The sequence below is a fragment of the Homo sapiens genome, chromosome 15, assembly GCF_000001405.40.
Source record: "Homo sapiens chromosome 15, GRCh38.p14 Primary Assembly".
Taxonomy (NCBI): Eukaryota; Metazoa; Chordata; class Mammalia; order Primates; family Hominidae; genus Homo; species Homo sapiens.
Window position 1 is genome coordinate 40,029,038 of NC_000015.10, and position 21,253 is coordinate 40,050,290.

General features: G+C 44.5%; 2 protein-coding genes and 2 long non-coding RNA genes across 8 annotated transcripts in view, besides 7 other annotated features; 3 read left to right on the top strand and 1 right to left on the bottom strand.

Moving 5' to 3' along the window:
* Nucleotides 1-6,554, top strand: part of EIF2AK4 (eukaryotic translation initiation factor 2 alpha kinase 4) — a 101,477-nt gene extending 94,923 nt beyond the window's left edge. The window contains exons 34-39 of the mRNA NM_001013703.4: nt 369-427; nt 1,322-1,419; nt 3,132-3,200; nt 3,720-3,764; nt 5,289-5,407; nt 5,990-6,554. Coding sequence (NP_001013725.2) covers nt 369-427; nt 1,322-1,419; nt 3,132-3,200; nt 3,720-3,764; nt 5,289-5,407; nt 5,990-6,047 — 448 coding nt within the window. The 3' untranslated portion in view covers nt 6,048-6,554. The remainder of the gene's footprint in view (nt 1-368; nt 428-1,321; nt 1,420-3,131; nt 3,201-3,719; nt 3,765-5,288; nt 5,408-5,989) is intronic.
* Nucleotides 6,653-10,165, bottom strand: SRP14 (signal recognition particle 14). Of its 2 annotated transcripts, NM_001309434.1 has the most exons (6): nt 10,056-10,165; nt 9,839-9,911; nt 9,245-9,357; nt 8,272-8,311; nt 7,949-7,981; nt 6,653-7,463 (listed from the first exon to the last, which is right to left on the bottom strand). In NM_001309434.1, the coding sequence occupies exons 3-6, from the start codon at nt 9,268-9,270 to the stop codon at nt 7,296-7,298; spliced, it is 267 nt and encodes an 88-aa protein (NP_001296363.1). In that variant the 5' UTR covers nt 9,271-9,357; nt 9,839-9,911; nt 10,056-10,165; the 3' UTR covers nt 6,653-7,295. The 2 variants fall into 2 exon arrangements, with proteins under 2 accessions (NP_001296363.1, NP_003125.3); NM_003134.6 differs by lacking the exon at nt 8,272-8,311 and having other exon boundaries at nt 10,056-10,144.
* LOC124903471 (uncharacterized) lies at nt 8,265-9,372 on the top strand. The gene is made up of 2 exons (XR_007064596.1): nt 8,265-8,492; nt 8,584-9,372. It is a non-coding gene; the product is annotated as an uncharacterized LOC124903471 (long non-coding RNA).
* Nucleotides 9,162-10,107: an enhancer, noted in NCBI's record as "H3K27ac hESC enhancer chr15:40330400-40331345 (GRCh37/hg19 assembly coordinates)". NCBI's record gives its function as "activates a minimal SCP1, AML or CMV promoter by ChIP-STARR-seq in primed H9 embryonic stem cells {active_cell/tissue: H9 hESC(primed)}" and the evidence as "EXISTENCE:reporter gene assay evidence [ECO:0000049][PMID:30033119]".
* Nucleotides 9,808-9,857: an enhancer, noted in NCBI's record as "active region_9220". NCBI's record gives its function as "activates an Ori minimal core promoter by ATAC-STARR-seq in GM12878 lymphoblastoid cells {active_cell/tissue: GM12878}" and the evidence as "EXISTENCE:reporter gene assay evidence [ECO:0000049][PMID:35858748]".
* Nucleotides 9,878-10,057: an enhancer, noted in NCBI's record as "active region_9221". NCBI's record gives its function as "activates an Ori minimal core promoter by ATAC-STARR-seq in GM12878 lymphoblastoid cells {active_cell/tissue: GM12878}" and the evidence as "EXISTENCE:reporter gene assay evidence [ECO:0000049][PMID:35858748]".
* Nucleotides 10,108-11,052: an enhancer, noted in NCBI's record as "H3K27ac hESC enhancer chr15:40331346-40332290 (GRCh37/hg19 assembly coordinates)". NCBI's record gives its function as "activates a minimal SCP1, AML or CMV promoter by ChIP-STARR-seq in primed H9 embryonic stem cells {active_cell/tissue: H9 hESC(primed)}" and the evidence as "EXISTENCE:reporter gene assay evidence [ECO:0000049][PMID:30033119]".
* Nucleotides 10,138-10,347: a silencer, noted in NCBI's record as "silent region_6315". NCBI's record gives its function as "represses an Ori minimal core promoter by ATAC-STARR-seq in GM12878 lymphoblastoid cells {active_cell/tissue: GM12878}" and the evidence as "EXISTENCE:reporter gene assay evidence [ECO:0000049][PMID:35858748]".
* SRP14-DT (SRP14 divergent transcript) overlaps nt 10,274-21,253 on the top strand; it is a 28,199-nt gene continuing 17,219 nt past the window's right edge. For 3 of the 4 annotated variants that reach the window (NR_040060.1, NR_040061.1, NR_040062.1), the window contains exons 1-2: nt 10,274-10,411; nt 16,924-17,032. This is a non-coding gene — a long non-coding RNA (SRP14 divergent transcript). Of the gene's footprint in view, nt 10,554-16,923; nt 17,033-21,253 lie in introns of all 4 variants that reach the window. The other variant, NR_040059.1, reaches the window with a different exon arrangement.
* Nucleotides 18,337-18,466: an enhancer, noted in NCBI's record as "active region_9222". NCBI's record gives its function as "activates an Ori minimal core promoter by ATAC-STARR-seq in GM12878 lymphoblastoid cells {active_cell/tissue: GM12878}" and the evidence as "EXISTENCE:reporter gene assay evidence [ECO:0000049][PMID:35858748]".
* Nucleotides 18,807-18,936: an enhancer, noted in NCBI's record as "active region_9223". NCBI's record gives its function as "activates an Ori minimal core promoter by ATAC-STARR-seq in GM12878 lymphoblastoid cells {active_cell/tissue: GM12878}" and the evidence as "EXISTENCE:reporter gene assay evidence [ECO:0000049][PMID:35858748]".

Below are 21,253 nucleotides of genomic sequence, written 5' to 3' on the forward strand. Positions count from 1 at the left end.
ATAATGAAGGTGGGGCTGCTGTTATTCATGTTTCCTTGTATTATGAGGGGGGCGGAAAGAACACCCATTATATTTCATTGAAATCAGCTTATTGTGTGGATCCAGGATTTCACGCCCAGCTGAATAAATCAGAATGTTTTCCTTAGGCATTTGTTAACTTAAAAAGACATCCTTTATAATTTTTACTTGCTCTTGACCAAAGCATAACTAAATGCAAATTTTTTGTTTTTGTTTTTCCACCAATAACCAAGAAGATGTTTTTATATTTAATGGAAAAGTGGCTCACTATACATGTAGTTCACTGTAAGTTATGTGTTGCTTGTGCCTTATTGACTGTTCTTTAATTGTTTTTGTTTGCTTGTTTTTAGAGAAGCTTCCGATAATCTTGCAGTGCAAAATCTGAAGGGGTCATTTTCTAATGCTTCAGGTATAATTACTAATTATAATCTGAACATAATGATGCTTATATGTTTGCTCTAAGCACTTATTACTGTAGCTAACTGCTTGTGACACTGGAAATCTATTTTTAAAATAACATATACGCAATAAATTGTACCACATGGGATGCATCCCTATGCTTTGAAATCCACATCCTAGAAAAGGATAAAACAACTGGAATTTAGCTGACTCTTCTACTCTATCTCTTATTTTTACAAGTGATTTAATCTTCCTTTTACTCAATTTATTGTACAAGTGAAATGTGTATAATTTTCCTGGAGATTTTCCTCATACAGAGGATTGAAGGAAGTATTTTGAAATCCCTTGAAGAAGGACACTATACACATTTTGTTTTCGTGAAAGCCAAGAGGGCACAGTGGTGATAGTTATGCCTTTGCTTTCATCACCTCTAGCAACCTTACTTCTTTTTTAAAGAAGTGTTCCAATTAAGGCCATGAGAAGACATATTTGGCTTTTAACAGAATTGAGTCTTTCCCATTCTCTTCTGTTAGCACTAACTTTGTGTTGCCATCAGATTTCCAATTCTTGCAGGAATTTAAAGAAGTATGCAGGTTTGGTGATATTCAGCTTGATTTTCTTAGGCCCCTGAGGTTTTGATGACTCCTGTTGCCTCCCTGCCCCTTCCACCACCCCCCAACCCCTGCCTGAGGAGAGAAGCATCAAAACTGCTGGGTGTTGGGGTTCTGGGCTCCTCACCTATCCGGTGCAGATGGTTGTAGGGATAGAAAACACAGCCCAGTCGTGATCTAGCCCTTAGAATCACGACAGGATGTCTACTAATAAACTCTGCCATCTCTCTGTAGTATGTTGTAGAAAGTGGGACCAGATAAGGCCATAAATTCTGAAACTCTCTTGGTCTCAGGTTTGTTTGAAATCCATGGAGCAACAGTGGTTCCCATTGTGAGTGTGCTAGCCCCGGAGAAGCTGTCAGCCAGCACTAGGAGGCGCTATGAAACTCAGGTACACTGGGTCAGGGTTTCTTTGGCTTTCTAATATGAGTTACAGAAGAGAAAAACAACAACAGGAAAGGAAAATAAGATAAACATGGAATTTCTTGGAAATATTTTTTCCAAGAAAAAAATTTTTCTTCCAACTTGCCTAACTGGGTGGCTTCTGGCTCCAGGATTCCCATCTGTCCTTCAGAGAGGGGCCATTGTGCACTGTGGGCACCTCAAGGCAGCTGTTGTCAGAGTGACTGCATCTAAATGAAAACTATCTAATCTGGCTCTAAAGGTAGTTGAGGTTTGTTTGTGCTCTAAATAGCAAAGTAGAAGAGGCCGATGACAAGACTTAAGGCAGGCTTCTCATTCCATACATGGTTTCGGCATTTGCTATATGCCTACTGGTGTGCTAAGGGCTGTGTAAAATGTAGAAAACATTAACATGGCCCCAGTCCTCAAAAGAGTTTATAACTTAGAAGCATATGCATTATATAGAGAATAATAAAAGCAAATAAATATAGGCCAGGTGCGGTGGCTTATGCCTGTAATCCCAGCACTTTGGGAGGCCGAGGAGGGCGGATCACTTGAGGTCAGGAGTTCGAGACCACCCTGGCCAACATGGTGAAACCCTGTCTCTACTAAAAATACAAAAATTAGCCAAGCGTGGTGGCAAACGCCTGTAATCCCAGCCACTCGGGAGGCTGAGACAGGAGAATTGCTTGAACTGGGGAGGCAGAGATTGCAGTGAGCCAAGATCATGGCACTACACTACAGCCTGGGCAACAGAGCAAGACTTTGTCTCAAAATAAAATAACTACAGTAGAACACTGAGTTAAATTTATAGAATATGAATGTTAGAGTATGCTGTGGACATATGCAAAAGAGTGAGTGTTAAAAGAGAGCAGTCAATTTTAGAAATGTAATCAGACTGAAATACAAAAATCAGGTACTTTATTTTTGTAAGCTCTTCTAGCTGTTTCTCAGGATTTGGGTGGAAACCTATTTTTCCCGTCTTCCTACTGCCTTCATCACCTACCAAGTTTCAGTTCTCACACCATGTCCTCATTGCTGCCACCTCTCCCTTTTTCCCAATTTAGCTTCATACTATCATCTCTCTGTCTCTGTGTGCACTGTTTCACTGCGCTACGCCTTTATAAGGAATCATTTCAAAATTATGAAGAGATAATTGACAAGGATTATTAAACAAATGGTCAAGATAAGTTATAAAAACCTCATTTCCCCTGAGATCATATTGCTAGACACCCCTTTCTGAGTGGATTAAGAGCAAATCTTCTTTTTTTTTTTTGAGACAGAGTCTCACTCTGTCACCCAGGCTGGAGTGCAGTGGTGCAACATCAGCTCACCACAACCTCTGCCTCCCATGTTCAAGCGATTCTCCTGCCTCAGCCTCCCGAATAGCTAGTATTATAAGCGCCGGCCACCATGCCCTGCTAATTTTTCTATTTTCAGTAGAGACGGGGTTTCACCATGTTGGCCAAGCTGGTCTCAAACTCCTGACCTCAGGTGATCCCCCAGCCTTGGCCTCCCAAAGTGCTGGGATTACGGGCATGAGCCATCGTACCCAGCCAAGGGCAAACCTTTAGACACCATTTGGAATCCTTTCTAGGCTTTGGTATGTAACCCTGTGATTGTATCCTGGGATAGGAAATAAGATGGCAAGAAAGATGGCTTGGTTTAACATGTTCTGAATTCCATTTTCTTACTATTTAGGTACAAACTCGACTTCAGACCTCCCTTGCCAACTTACATCAGAAAAGCAGTGAAATTGAAATTCTGGCTGTAAGTGGCTTTCTTTAGTATTTTGAAGGTGGCTTCTGTCCATACTGTCAAAGTAGTTGCCTCAGGGTTCAGAGCTTTTTTGCTCAGTGTCAGCAGAATTTGGATGCAGGCCTTATTGTGATGTGAACTACACGCAATTTAAAACTATTAAGAACTAGGGGGAGAATTTAAGGTTTTTTGTTTCTCCTCTTTGTTCCTCTTTAAGATAGAGGAAAATGAAAACAAAAGTCATTTTCCTACATATATCAGGCCTTTGCCTTGCTAAGCTTACACCGAATACATGTAGCAGCGTCAGACCTTTCGGGTGTGGTGTAGAGGGACAGGGAGTACAGTTTCCACTGCTTATTAATTCTCCAGGGCTAAGATCTTATCACTGCACAGTTCATTAAGCCCTTTTACAGCACAATAGCATCTCAGACTCTGCAAACCCTATTCATACTGCTGCATTTCACGTGACACTATGGTCACAAGGCAGTATTGTGCTGCTGAGAGTTGATGTACATTTGTGTGTATTCACAGGTGGATCTACCCAAAGAAACAATATTACAGTTTTTATCATTAGAGGTAAGCAATATGAACTCTTCTGCACTGTGGCCTTTAAGATCCCAAATCTTTGCTATTAGTTTGCCAAAATACTGAAGACGGCATTCATTAGTGATAGTATTTTTCTGGCAGCTGCAGGAATTTAGTAACATTTTTCCTTTTATGTAACATATATGTTCCTAAATCCTATGTTGAAGGACTCATACTTTTCTAGTGACTTTATTTTTCAGATACTTATTTTATTAAAAACAAAAAACAAAAACAAAAAAACACATATACTGCTTTTACTATGTGTCAGGGTCTGGCAGGCCTTGTTGTAAGCATTTTACAAGTAGTAACTCATTTAATCATTACCACCCCAAAATGTAGATACTGTTATTATCCCTTTACAGAGTACGGAAGTAGAGAGGTTAAATATCTTACCCACAGTCACCCAGCTAGTAAGTAGTAGAACCAGGATTTGAACCTAAGCAGACTAGCAGAATCGGTGTTCTTAACCACTATACTATACTATCTCTCAAACCTCCATTCCAGCTAGGGAAGCTCATTTGCAGATTAGTACTATACAAAACAAAATCCTTTTGTAAAAATTAATTAGGTCCTTTATAAATATATATATATTTTTACAGGTACATCCCTTTATCATCAAATAGCCTAAATAAGAACTTTAAAAATTTGAATAGTTATCTTTGCTATTAAGAACACTCAACTATAGTCATAGCTACAGGTGACTTTTGCAACATGTCATATCAAAGAATACTTTTTTGTCTATCCAGAGTGTTTAGTCACAAATTAAATTAGATTAATAGTGAACTTAGCCCTAGAACTAGTATTTTATATATCATTTTTTGTTCTCTTACAAATAAGCATATACCACTATCTCACTGGCAGTGTACTGATTTATGATCCAGTCAAATGGATATACTTAAGAGCTGCTATCACCGTTGTACAAAAAGTAAACAGAGGCCGGGTGCAGTGGCTCACGCCTGTAATCCCAGCACTTTGGGAGGCCGACGTGGGTGGATCACCTGAGGTCTGGGGTTTGAGACCAGCCTGGCCAACATGGTGAAACCCCATCTCTACTAAAAATACAAAAAATTAGCCGGGCGTAGTGGCAGGCGCCTGTAATCCCAGCTACTTGGGAGGCTGAGGCAGAAGAATTACTTGAACCCAGGAGGTGGAGGTTGCAGTGAGCCGAGATTGTGCCACTGCACTCCAGCCTGGGCAACAAGACCGAAACTCCATCTCAAAAAAAAAAAAAAAAAAAGTAAACGGTAGGCAGAAATAACTGCTCTAAAGTCACATCAGCACACTAGGGCTGCAGCATTGTTAATCAGGCTCTAATTAGGGAGTCTTGTTTTAAGGAAAACTGGTGCTTCAGAGGAACCCCAGCAGTCTCCTAACTGGTTCTGCTATCTCCCTATTACTGATTCTCCTGGTATACTTGAAGAGGGAAATGACACTGGAATTTCATTAGTGACCCAGAAAAAACCAGCTAGTAAACCCTAGAGACCTGTTGTTAAGTCTTATCTATTTTTTTCCTAGTGGGATGCTGATGAACAGGCATTTAACACAACTGTGAAGCAGCTGCTGTCACGCCTGCCAAAGCAAAGATACCTCAAATTAGTCTGTGATGAAATTTATAACATCAAAGTAGAAAAAAAGTAAGTTATCACTTGGGCATAGCAGGGTTCACATGGTTAAAATTCAGGGCGGGGGGTTTCAGAGTGACATTATTTTGTTGTCTTGTTGAGGTTTGACGCCTGGTAAGCTGTTCTTAGAATTGCAGCTGACAACCAATAAATCTTGCTTGGACTGTGAATCACAGTCATGATCTCATCAATAACAAAACACAGGGGTCCTAGGAGTAGCTGTCCCAATTACAATTTTGTTCACCCAGGTAATTCACTTTCTAAGTATGTTTAAATCAAAGAAAATAACCATGACTACTTTGCTGTATGTCCTTATGTCATAATGCCAATCAATCAATCAATCATTCATGTTATCATACACTTAAAAGGCAACAAGGAAGCCTATGAGGTGAATGGTTATCTCCTTACTAGGACCTTATACTGCAGACCCCTGTCAGTCACACCTTGTATAAAACCTATATAATTTTTTAATGACTAGCCTTCCATCTTGTTTTTGCTTAAATAAAGCTCCTACAGGTGTTATAAAAATTTATTAGCTCTGTTCTTCACTCATTAAACTGAGTCTGTCCTTATATCTTTTCTTTTCTTTTGCAGGGTGTCTGTGCTATTTCTGTACAGCTATAGAGATGACTACTACAGAATCTTATTTTAACCCTAAAGAACTGTCGTTAACCTCATTCAAACAGACAGAGGCTTATACTGGAATAATGGAATGTTGTACATTCATCATAATTTAAAATTAAATTCTAAGAAGAGGCTGGGTGCAGTGGCTCACACCTTTAATCCCAGCACTTTGGGAAGCCAAGGCAGGAAGACTGCTTGAAACCAGGAGTTTGAGACCAGCCTGAGCAACAAAGCAAGACCCCATCTCTATAAAAACTAAAAAAATTAGTTGGGCATGGTGGCACATGCCTGTAGTCCCAGCTACTCCAGAGGCTGAGATGGATCATCTGAGCCTCAGGAGGTTGAGGCTGCAGTGAGCTGTGACTGCGCCACTGCACTCCAGTCTGGGACAACAGAGCAAGACCCTGTCTTAAAAAAAAAAAGAAAAAAAAAATTTTTTTCTAAGAAGCTGTCCTACAAAGTTGAGCTTTGTTAGTTTTTCATGTGTAATATATTATAAATTTATCTTTTGGGATATAATAAATGCTTTCATATACCTGCTGCTTTTTAATTGTAAATCTATTAACACTAAAGGTTTTAGGGAGCTGGAACATAAGGTAAATAGCCTTTTCTTCCCTTGGCTGTAATGACTAAGCACATGAAAATATCCAAACCAAAGGGCATAAAGAAACCAAAAATCATAATTACTTTGGAACCTTTATTCTTGATGACTTTGTAGTATGTTTCTCCTAAGGTGGTTAAACAAACTCTCATTTGACTGTGAGAACTCATCGAAACTGGGGAACCATGATGATAAAATTATACAGCCAGGTGGGAAGCAGCTCATGAGATAACATGACTTTTTATAAAACTGTCAGGTTTCAATTCTAATAACCTAGAAGATATTATAGAGCTAAAGCCTATTCATTAATCACATCATTCTAGATTTAGTAGTTATTGCCAGAACTATTAAAATGGGTTGGGAAAGGAATAAAGAGACAGTGCTGATAAACAGACATGTTTAATGATAGCTTGCTCTTCACAGAGATGTCTACAGAGACTTTTAATCTATAATCCAGGAGTATATAACCATGCAGCACAGACCAATTAGCCAAATGCAAAATAAACTAGATTCTTACCACAACTATCCTATAAACACTGCAACTATTCTTTCCAAAAGGACCCTAATCTTATGTGAAAACACCTACTGTGGGGGAACCAGAAACCTAGCTATCTGGCCAAAAGGAAAAAATAGCAATTCAGTGGTTAATTGGTGAAAGCAGGAAATGTATGCCCTTTACTGTGCTGCTGTTGCTGCTGTTGTTGCTGCTGTTGTTGGTGCTGTTGCTGCTGCGGCAGGTGCTGCTGCTGCTGCTGCTGCTGCTGCTTTGGTCTTCTTAGTTTTGTTCTTTTTGTCTCTCTTCTTCAGCCCATCCATGTTAGCTCTAAGGAGGTTTGAATAAGCCTGAAAGATACAACAGAGCATACCTTAGTGGGAAGATGTGCAAACTGGCAGAACACCAGCCCTATCTGCATAATGGATTTAGGGTAGCCAAAAATCAGGAAAGAATATAGCACCATTGGACACTTGTACCGGAAAATGGTATAAGCATAAAACACTCTTTCACATTATAGCAGCTTCTGCAACACCCACAGACAGTTGCACACATTTTTTACGTTTTTTTCCAAGGGAAAATTGCAGGCAACTTCTTGTTCAACTATAGTATAGGTAGCATATATCTACAGCCTAAGACAAAATCTAACTTAAAAAAACTAGAAAGGAAGACGGTATTAGCATTGAAATTCACACCCTGGCAGCTTTTACTTGAAACATACTGGTAAAACTTATCTCCGGAGAGCAGTGAACCCAAGTATCAATCTTACCCAGTGTTCACTATCATACTGACTCTTGCCCTGAGAAGGGAAACATAAGGAACACCCAAAACTCACCATCTGAAACTTATTCACTTCCTTGGAGCTCACCTGAAAAAGAAGGAAAAAAGAGGTCATACCTATTATCCATATAAGCATCCTCTTCTCCACCCCAGATAGTATCTCAAAAGCCTCCGGAAGACAATATCCTTATCTTTAAAATACTTCTCCCCAACTTCAGGGTTCATAATACACGAATGGTTATTTTTCTACTCTACTTTCCTCTGCCTAGAGAACAAGAAAAGGAGCTCTGCATCTTTTTCCACATGAGAATTGCACCAAGAGGTGAAAGGCAGTAGGCTCCTTTTGGGGAAAAAAAAAAAAAAAGCTTTGTTTCTCACCTCTTGAAATCCCTTAGAAAGGTGGCATTGGGTTTTCTCCCTGGGTTCTGAGAAAAGTCAGAGGACTTCTCAGTATTAATTTTTTATACATTAATAGAAGATATATTTAAACTACTCCCTCCCCATCTTATTTTTAAACCTGCCTTCCATTAATTCAAGCATATTTAAGCACAATGCGAGCTACCACAAAATAAATTCTACCTCTGAAGAACACTCCTTAGGTTTTTGTTATTTCATGATATCTAACTTAATCTGTAAAACCACATAAGCTTGTTTTACTGTAGAAGTCCTCTCAAGATAACTTGTCCTTAGGTTTTTGTTATTTCATGATATCTAACTTAATCTGTAAAACCACATAAGCTTGTTTTACTGTAGAAGTCCTCTCAAGATAACTCAAGACTTCCAACTAAGTATAGTCTACATTTTCATGCAGTCAGTATCCTACACTAATGTGATTTCTGCCACAGCAGAATAAAGTAGTATTCACTCAATTCAAGGAGCCTCTTCCTTTGCCTTATTCAACCTCCACTGAAAGACTAGGGCTCTTGACTAAATGTATATTTTCTCAAGTGTCAAACCTAACATCTAGCTGCACATTCGCCATGTGAACCACAAAGATAAGGAAATAATAGCATCACCTGGTACCAAGAAACTGCTTATTGAAGGCCCAGCACAGTAAGGGGCTAAGGAATCAAATATTTATGCCAGCTGCTCCTTACAGTACTACGAATAAGGACCAATATGCTACTTTCATTTCCACAAGAGCTTTAGCAGAACTAACGACTGTCTGACCTCTACCTTCTTATTTTATTCTTGAGGTTTCCACTACTAAAGTATAGGAAGGTCCTGGTCTCAAAAATAGCCACACAGGGCAAAAGGGAAAAACAAATAAAAGCCTGGTTCAGAAACGCCCCATCCTCTGTTAAGTTCAAGTCTTTACATTTCAAAAGACAGCCTTAGAAATTAAGCTCACCACAGTGCTGATCTTCTTCTTCCCATCGGTAGCTCTTAACAGACACTTGTTGTCTGCGGGCTCAAAGCCCTCCACAGTACCCTTCTTTGGAATGGGTTTGGTTCGACCGTCATCTGAAGGAAAAAATGCATCCTGGTGAACACGGCCGCGTACGTGGCTGAGCGGCAGACAAACAGTTAAAACAGAGGAGTGGGGTAAGTGATGACCTAACCCAGCCCCGCTGCTCTAGTTTTGTTAAACACCTCATCTGCTATCACGGTCTGGCGAAACCCTGGAGAAACTATTATTTCCACGACGGAAACATGTAATATCGAAGCACGTTAAATTCCACTCAAAGTGGCGGCGTCTGGGATCCCTGACAAAGAGCCCTGGGCTGCTTGGGGCCCATTGTTACCAGAAGCAACCTAGGCGGCTCAGTGCTGGGGACTGAGCCAGCTACAATCCCTACTATTTTCCGGGCCCGAAGCCCCGAATGTGCTCAGTACAGGGTGGGGAAAGGTAGAGGAAGGCGGCGGTCCGCGGCAGACAGACTCCGGTGGCTCCCAGACACCGGGAACCCAGGGAGCATCGCCCGGCTCCCCTCCCGCTGCTTACACTTCTTCAAGGTGATATAGACGCTGCCCGACGTCCGGCACTTCTGGAAAAGTCTGGTCAGCTCCGTCAGGAACTGGAAAACAACAGGCCCAGCCCCGTTAGCCAGCCCCAAATCCTCGTCCTGCCGCGTCAAGGCCCTGGTCCTCCTGCAGGAGGCACAGGTCTCGAGTAACGCCTGAGCCGCCCCCTTCCCTCGGCCGGCCAGGCCTAGCCATACCTGCTCGCTCTCCAACAACACCATCGCGGCGACGCTGGCTCGACTCCCTCCGCTTAAGCCCCTAGCAGTGAGAGCCGGAAGTTCGGCCTAGGCTGGGCGGGACTTCCGCTACTAGACTTCCATTGTCTTCCACCAATCTCTTCTCTTCCACCAATCCCGGCCTGCGCCCTCCCCCCTCCCCGCCCGCCTAGCGCCCGCGCCCTGGGACGTCCGGGGGCCTGTGACCCGGAGGCGCTGGGGCTGTCCTGGGTCGTCACATGCGAGAAATCGTCTCACCCCAGCCAGTGTGACGGAGTGAGAGCAAAAGAAAGTTTTGATAGCAGCGTACGATTTATATTCAGCTGTATGCTGGGCAGGTAACCTAACAACTCAGTGACTCAGTTTCCTTATCCATAAAGTAAGGGTAATGATAGTATCTACCGCGCAGTGTGGTCGTGAAGCGTAAATGAAACTCAGATTAAATACGTAGAACAGTGCCTGGCACATAGAGCGTGTTCAGTAGGTATCAGCTATTGTTCTTTTCATTATTGTCATTATAAGTTCCTGTAGAGATCCTTTAAACTCTCCCTAAACGCTGACCTGCAGCTCTAGCCAGAAGGGCTGGGCCGGGCGTGGTGGCTCACGCCTGTAATCCCGGCACTTTGGGAGGCCGAGGCGGGTGGATCACGAGGTCAGGAGATTGAGACCATCCTGGCTAACACGGTGAAACGCTGTCTCTACTAAAAATACAAAAAAGTTAGCCGGGCGTGGTGGCGGGCACCTGTAATCCTAGCTACTCGGGAGGCTGAGGCAGGAGAATGGCGTGAACCCAGGAGGCAGAGCTTGCAGTGAGCTGAGATCGCGCCACTGCACTCCAGCCTGGAAGACAGAGCGAGACTCCGTCTCAAAAAAAAAAAAAAAAAAAAAAAAAATGAGGGGCTGGAGCCCAGTCTTTAGTTCTACCTCTGATTAGTCAGGAGAACTAGGTTGTAAGCCCTCTCTGCCACTAGCCAACTTGAACCCTGGGCCCTCTATAAAGTCAAGCATTCCACCACACAAGAGGTTTTCGCTGAGTGCCTCTCAGTCTGTGCCAGGCACGGTTGTAGAGGTTGGGGATGCAGCAGGATAAGAAAAGCTAAGTTCCTGGTTTCCTGGAAGTTGGGTTAAAGGGGCAGGGAGGAAATAAACAATGAAGCAAACAAGTAAGTAGTACAGCTTCAGATAATGAATTCCGTGAGACAGCCTAAGCAGGGCTGTATAATGAGAGTGGGAAGGGGACTGCCTGGGTTGGGGTCAGGGGAGTTCTCGTCGAAAAGGAGAACTTTGAGTTGAAAGCTGAAAGGACCAGCCATCCAAAGATCTAGGGACACAGTGTTTCAGACACAGGGAACGGCTAGAGCAAAACCTTCAAAGGGGAAACAAGTTGCCCTGTGTCTGTAAGACTGGCAGGTGCGGGTGGGGGTGAGGAGGGCTTGTGGAGCAAGGAGTAAAGGAGTATGGAGAGGTAGCTGGGGACCAGATTATGTAGGGCCCGTGACCATAGTAAGCCTGGATTTTGTTCTAGATACAAAGAGAAGACTCGTTAAGGAAGTTTTCAACAGAACACTGAAAATCTGATTTATATTTTTTAAAGATCCCCCTGTCTGTGTTGTGGAGAATGCACTGTAGAGAGACAGGGCAGGAAATGAGGAGCCCAGTTAGGAGATTCAAACTTAATGGCTTAAATATGTTCACTCTCTGATTTCACATTTTCTTCCAAATGGCCAGCGCCCGTTGCCCACTTCCTGCCCTAGGCTGATGACCTTGTGTAGCCAACCTGTATTGGCTTTTGGTTCTCCAGCATTTGAACCTGTTTGCAATCCCCTGTTGTGTGGGTTTTGGTGAGAGGCAATAAATAAATAAATAGAAGGGTCAGAGGGTCACTCTCTCAACTGCCCTCAGCACCTGGGCTCAAGCATATGACCTAACGTGGGTCAATCTGGTGCTCTCAACCAGGACTTTGACTTCTGAGCTAGTAATACCAAGGCCCAGGGCTCTTGCATGGGTGTCCAGTCATTTGAATGTGAGGATGTTTTTGCTCATCTGTATTGGCAGATATCATGAAAATTATGCATGGGCCCTTTTTAAAAAAATTTTATCTCATCAGCTATCATTAGTGTTAGTGTGTTTTACATATGGCCCAGGACGATTCTTTCAATGTGGCCCAGGGAAGCCAAAAGGTTGGACACGCATGCTAGAGGTTATTCATATGGTGCCATCACAAAGTGGTCTTGTGTTGGCGGCCCTATAGGAGGGGTTTTCACCAGACTGTTCTAATCTTTGCTAGTCTTGAGGTGTGCGAAGATGACTCCCCAATTTTTAATTATAGCTTTTACCTCTGTATTGAGCTCCAAACTTGCATATTCAGCTGTCCACTTGGTAGTTCCACCTGGATGTGTAATGAGCATCTCAGATATTACGTGACCAAATCAAAACTTTTTACTTCCCACATCTTTGCTATTTATTAAATGGCACCACCGTCTGACCAGTTACTCAAATAAAAACAACCATGAATCATCCCAGATTCCTTTTTCTTTTTGAGGCAGGGTCTCACTCTGTCACCCAGGCTAGAGTGCAGTGGTGCAATCTCGGCTCACTGCAGCGTCCACCTCTCAGGCTCAAGCTATCCTCCAGCCTCAGCCTCCTAAGTACTTGGGTCTATAGGCATGAGCCGCTGCCACCAGCTGTTCTTTTTCTTTTAATTTTCACATCTACACCTGCATGAGTCCTGTTAGCTATCTTGAAAGTTTAATCTGATTGCAATCACACTAGCATCTGGACTTCTGCAAAAATCTCGGTGGCAGGCTGGATGATCCCCCAGAGATGTCTATGTCCTAGTACATGGAATGCGTGCATTGCACTGGATCCAGTGCAATTCAACTACTGATGGAATATTCTTTGGGCTTTGTTTTTCTGTGGGAAATGACCAAGAGCACCTATTCAGAAGTCAAAGTGATCGGGGTTCAGATCCTACGTCTGCTACTTATTGATTATGTGGCCTCAGGCAACCTCTCAAGGCCTAAGTCTCTTCACTAGCAAAGTAACAAAATAATGCTTACTTCATTGAGATTATGAAGATTGTATAAAATACTATATGTAAGAGCCTTAGGCTTGCTCTAATATGGTAAATATAGATGTTTAAATTAATTTTAAAATTTTAATTCCTCAATCACACTAGCCACATTTCAAGGATTCAGTAGCAATATGTGGCTTGGATAGTACAGATGTAGAGCATTTCCATCATCACAAATTCTACTGGACAGCGCTATCATTGATAACATTGGGCCTAGCACATAGTAAATGCCCAATAAACAGTATAGTATCAAATAGTGTTATTACTTATAGACCACACACCTTCCATCATTTCAACATCACCATCCTGATTTCTGCCATTATCTTAATACCACCTGTACTGTTAGTTAATATTTTTCTTTAAATTGACTCACTTTCTACTTGTGTATTTAATATCATGATCATAAGTGGAAAACCAGTATCATTTGCCATAAATAAAAGGGATCATAAAAGGAAGTACTATGAAGTAAAATAATGTTGCTAAATTTAAATTTTTGAGATTAAAAAAATTAAAACAGTAAAAGCAATGATAAAGTTCATTGATTTATAAGACTATATCTGAAAATAAATTCATCAGTGAGAAAAATGGTATTGTATGTGATCAATCAGGAATAAAGGTAGCTCAGGGGTACAATGAAATTGAGAGTTTATGTCAATATAACATGGTTAAATTTTGATGTTTTCCAGCACCCCAAATCCTAACTTGCAATTATGTGTGATTAGGGTAACATATCATTCATCAAATTGTAATTTAAATGCATAATAGAGATTAATGGCTTTTGGCCTTGGAGCAGAGCAGTATGTATGTGAGGCATGGCGCTGGGTCACTGTCTCTAAGTCATGCAGGCCACACACCTTCCTGCTCCCTCTCAGTTTTTCCTCTCCCTTTCACAGTTCTAGGAGAACCATGACATGAAAATGGTTCCCAAATCCTTTCCCACATCATGGGGGCTTCATCAAAGGCCTAGGCAGCACCAAGAGCAAAACGAAGGCCCTGGGCACAAAACACCGTACCAGCTTTGGCCACTTCCCCATGGGAAGACGGGCAGAGAAAAGTACCCCTGCTCCTCAGGGCCTAGCCGACCTAAGGGACCTGAATAAGTATGCTTGTTTGTACAACCTGAGATTGTCTCTCCCAAAATGCAGGGGTAATGTGTTTTTTCCTCAGACAGAGCACACTTTAATTTATTAGGTGTTTAATTAGAGTTGGTTTTGAATTAGGGTCAGGAATTTGGTTAGGGTTTGAATTAGGGTCAAGGATCTTGTTCAGGTTAGGGTTGATTAATTTGCAGCTGCAGTTACTCTAATGCAATTACACTTTGCAGTGCCTGGAAAGTATAATGCTTAAAAACACAGTCGCTAGTTCCTGGATGGGGTTCCTAGCTGGGGTAGTCAAGGCTGCAATAAGCCATGATTGTGCCACTGCACTCCAGTCAGGGAAACAGTGAGATGCTGTCTCAAAAAAATTTTGTATTATGTTTAACCTATTATTAATAAGGAAACCAGATGTATGTTACAATCCATTCAAAGGGGAATCCAGTAAACATCAGGAATTCTGGAATGAATTTGTAAATGGAAGTAAAATTGGATTTTGCACAGGAGGGACCCAGGGTTGTCCCTTCACTGAACAGAAGCATTTGTACATCCATAGACAAGAATCCTCTGCATTGCCATTGAGTCTCTACAACCTACAGAGTTGTAAAATAGCGCAAAGGAAATAAAAGGCTAGAAATCAGCTAATCCAGAAGGCTGTGTTCTAATCAATGTATAATTTTTCATTGGAAACATCCACTATTTTTTATTTTGTTTTGTTTTTTGTTATTGTTGTTTTTGAGTTTATCTTTTTCTTTAATGTATTTGTTTCCACTAATCTTTTTTGCATATTCCAAAATTGCTTAAGTCTCTCTGTGCCTCAGTGTCCTCATCTGTAAAATGGGGAAGTCATAAAAGTGCCTACCTCATGTCAAGGGGAGGAGTAAATGAGCTAAGGGATGCATTATTACACTGCAGTCCCTTAGTTGGGAGTGGGCTGTTCTACGTCCTCCTCGTCAAGGTGGATTCATTCTACAGGAGCAGATTGCAACAAGACACTGTGCACCTTACGGAGGACTGGCCTCTGGGCTAGTTTAACTTTTCAGTTTCAGTCTGAGGGGAACTATACCTTGGGCTCTGAGCTGCCTCACCGTAGCTCCAGTGTGCTGATTTAAGGGTCAGTTCTGGATGAAGGAAGGAGGGTATCATCTAAACACATCGAGGAATGGCACTGGGCAGGTCTGGCTTTGGGATGACAAATTTTAGAACCTAAGGCTGGGAGACCTCCCACGTCAGCGGGAGGTGGTTAGCTCTGGTGGAGCCATCCTAGAGAAGGCCAGAGGAGTGGCCGGAGGGAGATGAGAGTGTGTCCTAGAAGCCTGGGTGCCCGGAGAGAGTAAACACCCTGAAGCCACACGTCAACACACTCCCTGGACTGAATCCACTCCAACACTGGCAGTTCCCAATTCCTTTATTCTTTTCTGCAGTCAGTTGGTCAACAAGTGTTCATTGTATCTGCTCAGCCAACTCAGGGCTCCAGGAACTCTCTCCATCCCCACCCCAGGATGAAGTCCTGGATTTAAATCCCAAGCCCCAGTGTCCTAGAGAGACAGCACAGGTGCCCTGGACTGTGAGTCAGAGACCCCAGGCTCACCCTGCTCCCCAACTTGCTGTGAGGCCCTGCACGAGGTACTTGCTTGCGCCCTATCCTCCACAGGGAACCTGCCTCAGAGGGTTGTTGTCGGCTTTCAAGGACATAATCCACGTAAAGGGCTCATAGTAAACACCCAGTTGATGTATTTTTTAAAGTATTTTCACTGTTATGTTCAGGACTTAGGCTAGATTGCTAATGTCACTTCTACTTCCAAAATTCTTAGAACTGCTGCTTTTCTCCCCCCAGCCCCTTCTGGGGGCCCTAGGGAAGTTTCCGGAGCCCACAAGTGTCAGTGATTAACACTGGCCTTCCCCTCGCTCGCAGCAACGCCACCACGCCCTCCCTCCACGCGCCATCGCAGAGATGAGGAGTGGCCTCGACCTGCCTGTGACTCGTCTTGGGCCAGTAGGGGACGCCCTGGCCTCACCAGACGAGCGCAGCCATGGGCGACCGCCTCAGCCACTCCCAGATCTTGCCCTGTCGTTTACCTTAGATCAACCCTAAGAATATCCAAGATCGTGGTCATTATTTTTCAAAATTACTTCTGTGGAGGCTAGAACTTTCCGTGTTACAGAAAGATTATCATTCATCCATTCACTGAACAAGGCTAAACAAGCAGTGTTTGGCACTGTTCTAGGTGCAAGAAGCTGACTGACTTCTCCACTAGAGAAGAGACTATTTTTTTCTCAGATAATAGCTTGCTTATATTTATTGAGAAGTTACTAAGTGCCAGGTTCATTTCTAGGTGCTTACATGTATCCACTTTTGAGCCCCCAATAGTCCTGTGAGGTGAGCGTTGTTCTAGCTGAGGAGCCTGCCACCTCTGTGCGAAGAAGCACTTGCAAATGAGTGTAGCCTGCGGGCAGCTCAGGAGTGCTGAGCTTTCAGCTGTCTTTCAGCTGTCCAAAGAGGTGACAAGAAGGGAGGGAAGGCAGAAAAGAGACCAGCTCTAGGCAGAGTGGAACAAACTGGGACTCTCTCTCCACTCCTCATCTTTCCCTCCCTCTGGGTGTGGGTTCCTATCCCAAGCCCCTGTCCCCCTCCCACTCCCATGCAGAATCCTGTCTCCTTAATCCTGTCTTTGGATTCCAGGTCCAACTTGGCATTTCTTGGCTGTATCTCTGAAGGAAAGTCATCTTAATCTCTATGAGCCTCCATTTCCTCAGCTGTAAAATGGGAAGATCTTCCTCACACTGCTGTGGTGAGTTCAGTGTGACAATGTGAATATAAAAGCTTATACGTGAGAAAGCATGGCAGAAAAGCTAGGTTTCATTGTTCTTTTCCTCTCCTTCTCAAGCAGTACCCTGAGTAGAAATATTCGGTCGTGCAAAACACCCCTCCCTCCCTCCCCATCAAAATCCCAGTCTCTCACTAAGCTCAGCTAGCTGTGTGGAGGCAACCCATCTGGTAGCTAAATCACACGAACATGTTCAGGACAAATGGTTAGTATGTCACACGCCCTCCATTTGTGGAGGAAACTTAGGTGATGTTAAACAAAGAACAGACTCTAATGGTGGGATTTCTGGTATAGGGGCTTTGGGGAGATACAAAGGAATTGCCAGTACCCTCTAGGCTACACTCCATGGGCAGCCCCTGGCCCCACATGCCTGGAAGGCCATCCTTGTACAGAATCAGGTGGTGGCACTCAAGAAATGTGTGTGAACTTTAAGAGGTTCTCCCCTTCTCATCTAGGATTTCCTTCCTTGCTGAACCTCAAGAAGGGGGCCAGCATACCCCATATTGTAAGAGGGGAAACTGAGGCCAGGAAAGGCAAGCATAGTTATTGCAAGCGTAGTTATTCCCAGCCAGGCTGGAAGTCTGGGGCATGAGCACCTATTCCTGCCCTCCTCCTCCCCACACTTTCATGGGTTTAGTGGGTGGGGGAGGGGCTCCCTTATTCAGGATGATTAGGGGTCCCCAATTTAAAGTTTCCTGTCTGAAAGTCAAGGACAGGAAATTATATAGCCAGAGTTCTGCACAAATTACCCAACAGGTGTCTCGACTCCCCAAAGCGACAGATGCTGTTCATCTCTTGGCCTCTGTGTCATCATTCATCCTTGATTGTTCGGGGAAGCCCACTCCACCTCTGTGACAGACCCACAGATGCAGATTTACACAGGGAATCCTAGACAGACACAATGAAGAAACTCCCATCTGATCAGAGCCAAGTCCCAGTAATAACATCAATGAATCATTGACTTCAGTGAGTCACAATATTGAGCTGGAAGAGGCCTCCAAGACCTTTTTAGTCCAACCCTTTACCTGCTAGTTATTCACAAGTGAATAGAAACTGAGTGAGGTCCAAAGAGGGAAAATGACTTGACCAAGATCACAAAGCTTGGTAATGCCAAAGGTGAGACTGGAAGCCCCGAGCCCTGAGCCCCAGGCCCATGCACTTTCCACACACCCCTCTGCCTGCCACAAACTAGCTGGCACAGAGAGCAGGAGGGAGGGCATAGGCCCCTCATGACTTAGCCAAGGGCAGCTCAGTGTCTCCATGCAGGTGGACTCCGTGTGTCAGCTTCAGCCCTCCCTTGGGAAGGGAAGGGCCTGGGGCCGTCCTCACACCCCAGGCGCCAGGCCACGGAGCTATAGGAGGCAGCTTCCTGCTTGGCCCTTATCCAAGGCCATTTCACAATGGGGGGAAAAGCGCTGAGCTGAGAGTCCCGGGTTGCTGCTCACTCCACCCCCACTCCAGCCCCTTTCAGACCCCCCAGGGACAACGAGCCAGGCCCGGCCTGAGGCTTGGGGTGAAGAGAGCTGCAAGAATGGAGACAGGCTGAACAGCCCCTTTTGGGAGTGTTCTATGAGCTGTGTCCCTGGAACTGGACGAGGGCACCACCTTGCATATTACCAGCACTATCCCCCTTCCCTTGCCGTCCACCTGCAAGCATTCAGGCTGGGGAAGTCCCTTCTGGGACAGGAGTGGTCGCTTCCAGTCAGCCCCATAGCACTCTCATGATTAGTCAGAGGGGAACCTGGAGGCAAGAAGGCCCACAAGCTGGGAGACGGCAAGGCCTGGGTCACTTCCTGCAGTGAGGCAACGTGACTACCAGGCAGAGGAGCCCAAATGTCTCCTCCCAAGATGCTACAGGGTCTGGGGTGAACTGTGGCTCAGCTGACTGAAATTCAGGCAGGAACCAAGACAGAGACACTGAGACGGGACATTCAGCCAGGATTTATTATGCCCTTACACACAGGGTCGGCTCTGAGCTCAGCTCTGTAAGGGATCTCGTTTGAAGTAGGAGGCAGTGGTTAAGGACCCAAATCATCCTGTCTTCAAGTCTTGAAGAGGAGACAAAACAAACCTAGGTGAAATGTCAAACCACAAGACAAGGCAGTGTGAAATGAGGGCCCACACTCTCATGCTGGACAGTCCAGTATGGCCAGTGAAGCGGGGGTGGGGAGGGAGTCACTGCAGACAAAGCTTCGGGGAAGAGATGGAACCGAGAATGATGGGGAGAACTTGACTCTGCAGACAGGATGGGAAAGATCTTTCAGACAGGGAAAGGAAGACAAGGCAGAAATCAACCTGCATACGTGAGGACAGGACCCTGTTTGCACCAGGGGTGGTCAGCCACGAGGCTGGAAATGTGCCTGGCCACAGGGCACTTCCTCACTCTGAGCTCTTGCTACTTGAACACAGCCTTCCTTGGTATCCGTGGGAAGTTGCTGGCCTACTGAGGCAGGATACCACACGGAGAACTAGGCAGGGGCGTGGAGGTGTCAAGGAACTCAGCCCCTTGGTGGAGGAGCCCTCTGACAACAGGAAGCAGCTGCAACGGGCTCCAGGGCTGTACTGGTATCTGCAACTCTCCCCCTACCCTGGCTGCACCCTGCAGAACAAACTGTTCTTCAAGAAGTTCTGGGGACAGAGGGCCCACACCTGCTCCCAGGTCGGGGTGGATAAACCCCCATCAGCCAGGCTGGGAGCCCAGCAGAGACATCACACAGCTCAGCAGCCCTCCTCACCCCCTGGCCCCCTGCCTCCTCCTACCCCAGACCAGGTTGCAGTTGACTAGGGCAATATAACACAAAACAAGAGCTTTATATTATTATTATTATTATTATTATTTTATAGAGACTGGGGTCTCACCATGTTGCCCAGGCTGGTCTCAAACTCCTGGTCTCAAGTGACCCTCCTGTCTCAGCCTCCCAAAGTGCTGAGATTACAGACATGAGCCATGTTACCCAGCCAAGAGCTTTGGAGAGGGAAATGAGAACTGAATCTTCATAAATACCTCATCCTGGAACTTCCAACAATGTCTCCAAAAATAGTACCTAAACTCCAGGCCTCAAACTCTAAATTGAGTGGGGATGTGAAGTGGTTGTGGCCTTACAGAAACAGCACTGGAGTGGCAGCCGAAGTGCTGAGTTCTAATCTGAATTCTGCCACTCATTGGCGTGGGACCTTGGACAAGTCACTTTTTGCCGGACTTGAGTTTCTTCCTCTGTAACTTGGGGAGTTGGGATTGAGCTGTAAAGTCCCTTCCAGTTTTAAATGTGAGACTCCAATGCTGTCAGGTAACTTTGGGATTGCTGTAATGACTGTTTGGGGGCTAGTATAGCTGGGAAAGAAATTAGGATGAGAATCCAATTGAGGGCAAGATAAAATGGAATTGTATTCTATTCAGAACTTGAAATAGGATGGGATTTTGTTTTCCCCAGATCCTCACCATAAAGAGATTTGGGAGAAAATCTTGGGAGATTTGGACTCAGAATATCTTAAGAGGTAGTATTCTAGAAGATTGCCCAACACTTGGTGGGGAAGAGCAAGAATTCTTCCAGATTGCTTGACAAGCAGAACATGGGGAGTGGGTCACAGTAATACCAGGAAAGACACATCCCATCCTCCCAACCCTCTTTTCCACTGAAGCTGCTCCTTACAATTCCTGTAACTGGGGACCAGGCCTTTCATTCCAGTTACAGCTAAAACTTAACATGGCCATTTAAATTTCCCTGAGGGTATAAATGGCTAATATTCTCTCCTTCTAAGACCCAGCATATGCTGAGAGAGGCCTTCAGAGGAGGTGGGGGCTGGAAGAAGGAGTGAAGGTGGAGGCCCAAAGATCACGCAGGAGCCATGCTTTTTCTGAAGCCAGATCTAGGCCTAGCAACTCAGAGCAGTTCCCCGTGGGCAGTGATGTGGAAGAAGGCCCTGGGCTTCCTAAGTGCCTCTAGGTCACTTTGTGAAACCTCTCACATGGGCCTGCCTGGGAGGAGGAGCCCAGTGTAGCCCCCACCTGTCTGCTGCCTGCTCATCTTCCAGGGTGTTGAGGGGATGGGTAGCATGGCTGTCTGCCCCCACCAATTACCCACATGGCTTGGGTCAACCAGACTCTGTCAGAGCTGTTGAAGGAGACATAAACCTAGGCTTTTGGAGGCAGCTTCAGGGAAAGGTGGAGTGTGTGAGGTGGAAGGT